This window comes from Homo sapiens, chromosome 8 (assembly GCF_000001405.40).
Source record: "Homo sapiens chromosome 8, GRCh38.p14 Primary Assembly".
Taxonomy (NCBI): domain Eukaryota; kingdom Metazoa; phylum Chordata; class Mammalia; order Primates; family Hominidae; genus Homo; species Homo sapiens.
The window spans coordinates 79,569,827-79,581,969 of record NC_000008.11 but is presented as its reverse complement, the minus strand read 5'-3'; the positions used below and the strand labels follow the sequence as shown (position 1 = coordinate 79,581,969).

Below are 12,143 nucleotides of genomic sequence, written 5' to 3'. Positions count from 1 at the left end.
GCATATTTATCTATATGTCTATGAATGAATGGACTATTACATTGTTGACTGAGAAATTAGCATTTATATATGCACAGATATGGACATATCTATGAATTCCTCAAATAATTGACAGGATTTTTATATGTTGTAAGTTGGTTATCACAATTTCCTATAGAATCAATGTTATATGTCATGCTTATGTATTAAAACCAATCCATAAAACATTCATAATTTTATCTGTTTGCATATGATCTTATCCCCAGACTCATGAGTGGTGCCTGGAATGCAGAAGACAAGCAAATGTTTTGTTAAATCAATAAATTAATAAAATGAGTGAAAGAAACTGAAGAACAATACTAATAACATTAAATATCTATTTTTTATTTATATTATTGCTTCTATTGAAAAATTACATTTGGAATTCTAACTTGGGATGTCAGTAACTTACCTTTCCTCCTTGCTTGCCTAAATACACAAAGGTGTGAGTGGAGACTCTTCATCGGGCTACTAGTTTATTTTCCACAATTTAGGAAGTGGTGTCCTACAAGACAGAAATCATTGTACTGGTATGAAGGGATAAGAAGGAGATTCTAGGGTTTGGGAGTAGAATTTCTAGGAAGAGGACCTTGGAAAGGTGCAGTAGTGTGGTGAGAAAATGTGGAACAGATAAGTTCATGGAAGGGAGGGGGGTAAAGAAATCTTTACTGATGATGAGCTAGAATCTAGAAGAACTCCTGCAGCCTGGCTGAGGTAGCCCTCAGCACATTAAAATTATATATAAATCACTATAGTGTGTGTGTGTGTGTGTGTGTGTGTGTAATGGAAAGACTGTTTTTTGTTGTGGATAATAGAAATCACGCTCACCATTTTATAGCCACAGCAGAAGCATGCGCACTCAAACTTCATATCACAGCCTATTTATTAGAAGTAAACCTCAAAAGAGACAGAAGATTCATCTACACTAGACTAACAGGATTTGTGAGTTAGGCAAATTCATTGAACATAAAACTGAAGAAAATATAGCTCTTAGTCTATTTTTGATTCATGCATATTCCCTTAGAAGAGATCTATATAAGACAATGATGACTGTGAGGCAAACGAAGTCCAAAGGAACAGAGTATCTCCATGATTGTGCTTAGAGGTAGGCTCAGATTTCTTTTTGCATTATCAGTATTGACCTAAAGTATATAGAATCTTTGGAAGAAATGGAAAATATTTTCTTCCTCTCAGTTCACATATGTTTCCCACAAGGCTTAAGCTCTCCAAAATTTGTATTAATATTCCTCTGCTGTTACATCAACAGCATCCAGGTACTGCAGTCTTTGTTAGAATCCTCTTTTTTGACCAATACCCAATTCATTTCTTAGTAGAAAGCTTGTTAATAATAAGAAACTCTTTAATCCTTTCAGTACACCAAGATACAGTCTTGTGCATTACAGTAGCACTGCTTACAGAAAAATGTTCCAGACAGCCTTTCAGAAAGTGCACAGGTCTAAATCTCAAACTACTGAAGTGTACTCAATGGCCCTCACAGTCAATTCATTTCTACCCAGGGTATTACAAGAACAACTTCAATCTAAAGTTACCCTTGAGGGTTCTTCTGAAGTAAATAAATTAGAACGTGGGTATTTGAGCTTCTTACAAGTTTTCTTAGTATTCCCTTTCTTTTGGAATATATATTTTTGTTCTAATCAGCAATCATTTGATTGTCACCAAAACCCACTCAAATAATTTCAGCAAAAATGAAAATATGTTGAAAGGTACAATGACCCAACGAGAGAAGTGAAGTCAGACCTTACAGAGAGCTGGAAGCAGAAGTGTGAGGTTGCCCTGCTCCACTGCAGCCTCCCTGTATGTCTCTCTCCCTCTGGGCCTATATGGCGTTTCTGCTCTCACATTCTCTCTCTCTCCCTCTCTCTGCTCCTTCATTTTCCTCTCTCTCAGCAGTTTGACGTTCTTGTACACATAGTAGAAAATGGCCTTTTCAGTCCCCTAATTGTCTACTCAGTTTGATGCTAACAGAGACAATGAACAATCTCCAGATAAACGTCTGGTAGAGAAAATCCAACTGGCCTTGTTTGAGTTAGTTTTCCACTCTCTGTGGCCAAGGAAGAGAAAGAATGAGGGCTACAAGAATCTGTTACTGAAGGTTGCAATGAGGCAATTTTAATAAGTTGCTAAACAACAACAAACATTTATATAGCATTTGCTATAAGCCAGACACTGTTCTAAGTTCTTTGCATGCAGTAAGAAGGCATTGGCTGGTCTATTTCTCAAAATGTGTCCACAACAATTTAGTGCCTCTCAGGGTCTGGATAGCCATTTTAGTCTATGTTTACTATGTGTGTTCAAATAATATCCTAATGTAACTTGTTTGTGACATATGTTTAACACAATTTTCTTATGGATTAATATATCTTGGGTAGCCTATGATACCTTTTATCTTTATTCTTTCTCCAATTCTAAATTTGTCTTGGTGTCCTCAATCATTTTATTACGTGACTTTTTTCTAGTCATAAAAATCCCTAGAGATGGTGGCTGTGTTCTGATGAGTTTCATGCACTGACAAGACAGAATCATACCACAGCAGGAGTTGGGTCTTTGGGGTCAGTTGAAAGGGGTTTAAATTCTAACTCAGACAGTTCTGGCTCTAGGACCTTGGTCAAGTCTTTTTAACTTCTTCGATTCTTAGCTTCCTCAAGTTAAAGTGCATAAACATGTATGTTACATGTAGTATTAGAAATAATGCTTATAAAGGGCCCAGCACATAGAGGCCTTTGGTAAATAATACATAATAAAGTTTCTCGTTATATGTTTATTTTTTTGTGTGAGTATGGCATACTGGCATTGCTTAAAAGAAGTTTTTTGATGTATTTTTGTTGAAATGTACTAAAGTTAATGTACCTGATTTTCATGGCTGCAAGGTCTCATTCTGATATGAATACATAAGGGAATAGAAAGAAAATAGAAGAGTTGGAGGGACAAGTATTTGACCATTGATCAAGTTATGAATATTGGCAATTAGAATAAAAATGCAAACTGCATTATGTGTGTGTGCACATGTATGTGTGTGTGAGAGATAATTTTTAAATTTTTAAAAAATTATTTATTCTTTATTTTAAATTGACAAATAGTAATTGTATATATTTATGGAGTACAATGTGATGTTTTTCTTTATGTATCGATTGTAGAAAGATTCAATCAAGCAAGTGATTATCAGAGGCTTGGGATGGGGAGAGGAAAATATGGGGAAAGGGGAGAATAATGATTTTTTTAAAATCATTGTTCAGAATTGCAAAGCTGAGGCTTCCATTGATGGTCATTCGTCATCATCCTAGGTTGTCTATATGTGATTTCTAACAGGAATTCAGCAATGTTGTTCTCCCAATTATTCATACTCAAAAACATAACAAACGAACCTATTTATAGACTTATTTTCTCTATAGTTTATGCAAAGCCTTTTGCAGCGTTGTCTGCCTATTCTTTAATCTCCTGTTAGAAACCACCTATATGTCTTTATCTTTCCAGTGTCTTAAATTCCTCCTATTCAGGTATTGAGTTCAGATGTACACAAGTTTCTTTTTTTATGAAATTTATATTCTTTTGTATTTTAATTCATTTGGGCAATTTCACTTTTAATTCTTTAAAAATGCCTGGTTATCTACTCAATATATAACATCCTGGATCAAGTCCAGGCAATGTCATTCATTAACAATATGACTTTCAACAATGTTCTTAACTACTCTGTGTCTTAATTTCCTCATCTACTAAAACACAATTGGGCTAACAGTACCTATCTTAAAGGATTTTTTTTTTTTTTTTTTTTTTTTTGAGATGGAGTATTGCTCTGTCACCCAGACTGGAGTGTAATGGCCCAGTCTAGGCAGTCTAGGCTCACTGCAACCTCCGCCTCCGGGTTCAAGTGATTCTCCTGCCTCAGCCTCCTGGGTAGCTGGGATTACAGGCATGTGCCACCACCTCCAGCTAATTTTTGTATTTTTAGTAGAGACAGGGTTTCACCATGTTGGCCAGGTTGGTCTCAAACCCCTGACCTCATGATCTGCCTGCTTTGGCCTCCCAAAGTGCTGGGATTACAGGTGTAAGCCACCACGTGCCCAGCCCTAAAGGATGTCTTGAGGATTAAACAGGATAATTCAGAGTAAAAACTCATGGAACATTAGTACCTGGTATGTTTAAGTGCTTGATAGATATTACTTCTTAATATCATTAAACAGGTAAAATTTGGGTATACTTAAGCATCTATTTTGATATAAAAATTTTCAACCTAGAAAAGAGGTAATCATCTGAGTATTCTTATAAAGGATTCAATATTTTCAGGGTCCGTTGGGTCATGATTTTGTCCTAAATTACCTTAACTTTCTCAACCACTCTCAGGATAACAGTAATTTACCACACTGCCATGCTTTATTTCTGTTTTCATGTAGGTAACTTCCCATTCTAATCTACATTCTTACCTATCTCTGTAAGTCTGAATTTCTCTGAAATTCTTTTATAGTAATAAGGAGGTCCACATATGGAAAATGTTAAAGAGCCTAGCAAGAAGATTGCAAAGGACTGTAGATTGCATCTTCACTGGTATGCATGTCACTAAAGTGATAACTAAGTTGCCATTTGGAAGCAACTTTTCTTTTGTGAACAAACCTTCTAAAGAAAAAGATATTTAAAAATGCAGAATGTAACATAGTTTCCATACAGGACAGAAACATGTTGAGGAATAAAATAGACGACAGCTTTTGAGTATGGTCCACTGGGGAGAGGAAAATTGAACTTGAGGTTAGAAGATGTGGGTTATAGTCAGGGTCCATACACATATACATGAGCATGTTGCTGACAAATGGGCATCATGACTCTGTTAGTCCACTTGTGTTGCTATAAAGGAATACCCGAGACTGAGTAATTTAAAAGAAAAGAGGTTTAATTGGCTCATGATTTTGCAGGCTGTACATGAAGCATAGTACCGGTATTTGCTTCTGATGAGGGCCTCAGGAAGCTTACAATCATGGCAGAAGGTGAGGGGAAGCCAGTGTATCACACGGTGAGAGTGGGAACAAGAAAGAGAAGGGGAGGTGCCAGCTCGTTTAAAAAATCAGATCTCATGTGAACTCATTACTGCAGGGAGGACACCAAGTTATTCATGAGGGATCCGCCCCCAAGACCCAAACACCTCCCTCCAGACCCTACTTCCAACACGGGGGGATTACATTTCAATATGAGATTTGAAAGGGACAAACATTCAAACTATATCAATAACTCTACTCTATTTTGAGGTTAAAATACTGTGAAACATTTGAAAGAACTTTGTAAGCTATTGGTTAAGTCATTAGGAATTGTGTAGACTATTTTGATTCTTGAATATTTACCATATGCTCACAGGTAAGTAATTTACTTTTTATACACAGCTTAACTTCAGATATTTACAAATGCTTATTGTTAAATATTTGGCAGCATTGGCATTGTACAGGTCCAAGCTTACATGCAAATGAGTTTGTAATTACTATCTTGAGAAGAAATGTCATTAAAAAAATTGCAGTAGGTGGTACCAGAGGCATCCTGTTCTAAAATTTTATCCTTTGGAAAAATATCACATCTCTCTGCAAGAGACAGTAGTTCTAATTTGTTTGATCAAATATGTGCAATTTGTGCCTTTCACCATAGGGTATTATAGCCTACAGGCATATACATAGCATTACTGAAGGAAAATGACTCCCTGATTATGTCCTGAAAAACTAATGAAAGCATGTCAAAAGAAAAAAAAAGCCATTGCCTTCTACAGAATAAAAGGGATTAATCATAGAAACAGAAGGAAATGAATTTGGACCTTTGAAGAAATTGACTCCCTGATAAGAATGCAAGTCAGAGAACTGAGCAGGTCATGAAGGCCCCCTGCAATCCAAGGCAGCACACAGCTGTGTGTGCACTTTGTCAGGATTGTTTTATTTTTTAAAGCAAGTTCACTACTTAAAGCAAAGATTGGGAGTCCAGATTTCAGGAAAAAAGGCAGCAATTGTTCCCAAACAGAATTATTGGGCAAGAGAACTTGTGAAATACAGTCTAATTTGTGCTTAGAGAAAAAAAAAGCTCTTTTTGGTAAGGACGGGTGAATGTTCTATGTGAGACTATTGTTTGGATAACTTTTGGTTGGGGACGTAAGGTGGTGGCAGGATCTCAGTATGGCTATGCAGATGTAGTGAGTCATCTTAGAGAGAAAACAGCCTGGGAAAGTGAGATGGCCGATGGGAAAGTGAGATGGCCGATCTGACTCCCTCTCCAGTTCCCATAGCAGAAGCTACTGGATGGGAGAACACAGGCTAACACACCCCTCAGGCTCTGGGGTCATTTCTGTTTCTAGTAGACTGCATGGGGCTTTAAGAAACCTAGCCCTGGCCAGGCGCGGTACTCATGCCTGTAATCCCAGCACTTTGGGAGGCTGAGGCGGGTGGATCACCTGAGATCAGGAGTTCAAGACCAGCCTGGCCAACATGGCAAAACCCCGGCTCTACTAAAAAGACAAAAACTAGCCAGGCTTTGTGGCAGGCACCTGTAATCCCAGTTACCCAGGAGGCTGAGGCAGGGAGAATTACAGTGAGCCGAGATCGCACCACTAGACTCCAGCCTGGGCAACAGAGTGAGACTCCGTCTCAAAATAAAAAATAAAAAATAAATAAAAAAAGTAAACAAAGCAAACAAACAAACAAATAAACCTAGTCCTGAAGACCAAGCTTACCTTAACCTTCCTGATGATCAGGCCCTGATTTATTTGCAGTATCAAACTCTTGCCTACTTCCTGTAGGCAGGTTACTGTCTTATTTCAGTATCCGAATCCCTGAAATATTCCCACGTGCCTTTGTCGTGGTTCTTTCCAGTACTGCAACCCTGCTTTGCCCCATCTCAACGCTCCCAGGGGCTTGAGGGCAGGCTCTGGATCACAGGCACCATGGCCATGTACTTGCATTCCACTGGTCTGATTGCCTATTACAAGAGTTCCATGGCAGCATACTCCATCAAGCTGGGATGACTCTGATGATGCTAAGTTCTAGAGTGTAAGATCCATGAGGGCAGAGATTGTGTCTGTCTTATTCAGCATTGTGTTTTCAGGATCTTGCATGGTGCTTAGTACAGGCTAGGTGCTCAATAAGTTTTTATTTATTTATTTATTTATTTATTTATTTATTTATTCATTTTTTGCAGCCAATGTCTGCTTTAGTCATCTGTGCTGCCCTGACTAATCCATCTTATCTGGTTCTGGTCATCAAAACCTGACCCGCCTCTGCTGATTGATTCCCAATACTCACATACATAATTTAGTTGAAGTACCATGCTAATTATTATTCATAGAAACACTTAGCACTTTTCATCACTGAAATGTCTTCCAAATTGAGTTACTTAATCAACCACAGATCTGTGTGGAGGTGACTATAAAATCTGATGAGTGATGATAAATCATTGCAAAGTATCATGATAGTTTTTAATAGGAAAGCGATAAATGTGAAGATAATTTCAGATTAACCGTTGTAGGGAAGTCAACTGAGCAGTGTGTGTTGTCTCCCATGGTTCCTCAGATTAGCTATGCAGAATGAGTCAGGGACAACTGAGTTCAATCTTGAATCTACCAATTATTGCCTGAATGTTATGAGCATGTTTACAAACCTAAGTCACCTCAGTTTTCTTGTATGTGAAATGGAAGTAATGATAGTAAGTACCTCAGAAAGCTGTGACGATTAAGTGAAATAACACATGGAATACCAAATACTGTGTCTGGCAAATAGTAAAGGCTTAATAAATACCCAATAAAGAAGTAACTCTACAAAACCGCAGCTCAAATCAGAAATGTAGAATTTCCTGGAATTTTGAATCAATGGAAATTTACTTTTTGGTTCAGTATAAAGAGAGAGAAGGCTTTGGAGCCAGAAGGCCTGAGCTTCCTCTTCTCATTAGATGGGAGAATGTGGACAAGTCACTTGATATGACCAGGTTGTACAAATCCTGGATGTGTAGCTCACTTGGAATACAATGGTAATTGAGCTCCTGTGGAGTTTGACCTTATATCCTGGCATCTCAACTTTCTTACCTGTAAAATATGTATATTAATATTTTTAAGGGCTGTAAGAATTGAGGCAATGTTTACAAAGCTCAGTGCATAGTATATGGTAGGTACTTGATAAGTAGCTATCATTATTTTGGGAAAATAAAAATGTACATAATGTTTAATATCGTGTAAAGTTAGATCTAAATTTACTTTTAGTGAATGAATATTGAAATATATTATTCCTAATTTGGTTTTGAAACAAAACCATAATGTTTACAGCTATAAATGCCTGGAGAAAATTTCCACTTTATAGAAAATGAAAAATATTCCTCAGATAAAGGACATTTTCCCCCAAGTTCTCATTATTTTTTTCTTTTCTAAGCTTTTAGAAGTCTGCTTCACGCAAATCTCTCACTCTATTGATGTATAGATTAGCTCTCTTTATTCTATTTTTGATCTTTCTAATGGAAAACTCCTTTCTTTGGTAAAATCCCATTATCTTTTAACTTGATTTCTTTCTTTACATCCGTATTCCTTCCTGACACCACTATTACCATCTTCCAAACTTTGATTTTCATTTCACTTTCCTTCTTGGTAGGAAGCCAAGGTGATGGGAGAGTTACCTCTGTGGTTACATCAAGTTTTATAAAACTCTGTTCTAACAGACTGGTAAAAGAAATACTCCCAATGGCCTTAACGAAGTAAACATCCATGTTGTGAGACACCCGATGAGAGGATTATGTAGCAAAGAACTGTGGGCAGCCTCTAGGAACTGAGAGTACCTCCTGGCTGACAGCCTGCGAGAAAATGGGGACCTCAACCCTACAGCTACAAGAAATGGAATTCTGCCAACACCTACATGAGCTCGGAAGAGCATCTCAAGCTCCTGATGAGAATGCAGCCCAGCCAACATCTAGGTTAAGACCCTGAGCAGAGGACCCAGTTAAGTTAGGTCTGGATGCCTGACCCATAGAAACTGTGAAATCAACAAGTGGGTATTGTTTTAAGCTGCTAAGCTTGTGGTTATTTGCTATACAGCAACAGAAAACTAATATGCATCTCCTTCATTGGACATAGTACACAAGCAAGTCCCTGATTGCCCTCACAATGTGATGTGACAATATTGTTTAATCTTACAGCACTTTTATTACATTATCTATCATACTATATTGTTATTGATTATTCATTTGTCTGTTTATTGTGTTTGGTTTAATGATCCTGGGTTATTTATAAACATCTAGGCAGAGAATCAAGACAAGTAAAACAATGCACATTTGCAGAACATCCCCAGAAGGTAACACAACCACTTGGCTGGCTGGGCGCAGTGGCTCACTCTTGTAATCCTAGCGCTTTGGGAGGCCAAGGTGGGCGGATCACTTGAGGTCAGGAGTTCAAAACCAGCCTGGCCAACGTGGTGAAATCCTGTCTACTAAAAATATAAAAAAAATTAGCGAGGCATGGTTGTAGGAGCCTGTAGTCCCAGTTACTCAGGAGGCTGAGGAAGGAGAATCACTTGAACTTGTGAGGCAGAGGTTACAGTGAGCCAAGATCATGCCACTGCTCTCCAGCCTGGGCAACATAGCAAGACTCTGTCTCAAGACGTGGTCCCAGACATGGGTCCCTCCGCTTCCTGCCTCAGAAGTGCAGCAGGAGGCATCACAGGAAGGTGAAGAGCTTCCCTAAAGAGGACCCTTCCAAGCTGGTCCACCTCATAGCCTTCCTGGGATACAAGGCTGGCATGACCCACATCGTGTGGGAAGTCGACAGGCCAGGATCCAAGGTGAACAAGAAGGAGGTGGTAGAGGCTGTGACCATTGTGGAGATAACCATGGTGGTTGCGGGCATTGTGGGCTATGTGGGAACCCCTCGAGGCCTCTGGACCTTCAAGACCGTCTTCACTGAGCACATCAGTGATGAGTGCAAGAGGCATTTCTATAAGAATTGGCATAAATCTAAGAAGAAGGCCTTCACCAAGTACTGCAAGAAATGGCTGGATGAGGACGGCAAGAAGCAGCTGGAGAAGGACTTCAGCAGCATGAAGAAGTACTGCCAAGTCATCCATATCATTACCCACAACCAGATGTGGTGCTTCCTCTGCACCACAAGAAGGCTCATGTGATGGAGATCCAGGTGAACAGAGGCACTGTGGCTGAGAAGCTGGACTGGGCCCGCGAGAGGCTTGAGCAGCAGGTACCTGTGAACCAGGTGTTTGGGCAGGACGAGATGATTGATGTCATTGGGGTGACAAAGAGCAAAGGCTACAAAGGGGTCACCAGTCATTGGCACACCAAGAAGCTGTCCCGCAAGATCCGCTGAGGCCTCTGTAAGGTGGCCTGTATTGAGGCATGGCATCCTGACCGTGTGGCCTTCTCTGGGGCACGCACTGGGCAGAAAGAGTACCATCACTGCACTAAGATCAACAAGAAGATCTATAAGATTGGCCAGAGCTACCTTATCAAGGGTGGCAAACTGATCAAGAACAATGCCTCCACTGACTATGACCTGTCTGTCAAGAGCATCAACCCTCTGGGTGGCTTTGTCCACTATGGTGAAGTGACCAATGACTTTGTCATGCTGAAAGGCTGTGTGGTTGTAACCAAGAAACGAGTGCTCACCCTCCACAAGTCCTTGCTGGTGCAGACCAAATGACAGGCTCTGGAGAAGACTGCCCTTAAGTTCATTGACACCACCTCCAAGTTTGGCCATGGCTGCTTCCAGACCATGGAGGAGAAGAAAGCATTTGTGGGAGCACTCAAGAAAGGCCAAATTGCAAAGGAAGAAGGAACTTAATGCCAGGAACAGATTTTGCAGCTGGTGGGGTCTCAATAAAAGTTATTTTCCACTGAAAACAAACATACAAACAAAAAAACCACTTAGCTAGATGACAGCTCCAAGTCTCAGTCTGTTCAATTTAGAATAGCTGGACAATATACCTGGTCAGGTGTCTTTTATCATTGTTCTTAAATGTATTAAATAAGAAAGAAATATATGCCATTATGTTTGTTGTAGGAAATGAGAAAAAAGATAAAAAGCATATTTTAGTGATTTGTAGGGTAAAGAAATGTATGGAGGAAAAAATACTGCTTCATGAGGTTAGTAAATAATTTATTAATTATTTGAAAAATGTTCAGCATTGCCATAAAGTTATTTTAGTATGAAGGCATATAGGTTTTAGCTTTGTGTAGTAGAAAATATAAAAGAATTGTGTGATTTCCTCCAAATCAACATCTTCATTCTTTCTCTTGAATCTAAGTGCACAAGATTCACCTTCACATAACATTTTTGAAAGCTTGAAAGGAAAGAAAAAACCTTTACCTCTACTGTTTAGTATTTTAACTATTCAAATGCTTTTTTTCTCTAGTGCATAAGCTCATCTTTTTTTGGGTTTTCATTTTCATCATTACGGCCTCAATAAATGAACCTATGTCACTGCCATCAAAAGAAAAATAAATTATTACACTACAGAATAAAAGAAGATTATGAATAATTATTTATATAGGCTAAGTCTGTAGGGCAATTAGAAGAGCAATTCAGTTTTATTTTTCCTGTATCCACAAAATTCCTCCTCTGACTCTGCTATTATAGCTGTACGCTTCCAAATATGAAAAATGGAAATAACCTGATTTCAAATGGAGATTGATAGAGAAGAGCTGCTTACAAAACTTAAATATCTCAAATCAAGTGCATTACTCCAAGATACATCTTATTTTCACTCTTTCTCTCCATACCTGTCTCATAATTTAAGAATAAATGAACCTATTGGGAGTTGTAAGCCATTCTGATTTGGGGCCATTTGTTGAGGTGATCTGAAGCTAAACTGAGAAGTAGGCAATGCTTGCATCTAACATTGTTTTTAGCCACCTTATTTTGTTCCATTCCACTTCAGGGGCTCCCATTGGAGTGAAATACTTAGTTCTCCCTTCCTAAATATTATCCCACTTCAGAGATCTCCTCCATCCCAATTCAAAGTTACCCGTGTCTTGTTTTCTCAGCATTTTATTAGGTAATAGGCTAGAATTCAAATTAGTCAGTTGGTTCTGAGAAATTAATGGTTTTTTTTTTTTACTGAAAGATAGCAACTCTTTATTTTAAATGGCAGTTTAAAGTTTGCAGA

The 12,143-nt window shown here is 38.6% G+C and overlaps 1 pseudogene; it reads left to right on the top strand.

Annotated features, from left to right (window-relative positions):
* RPL3P9 (ribosomal protein L3 pseudogene 9) lies at positions 9,620-10,875 on the top strand (annotated as a pseudogene).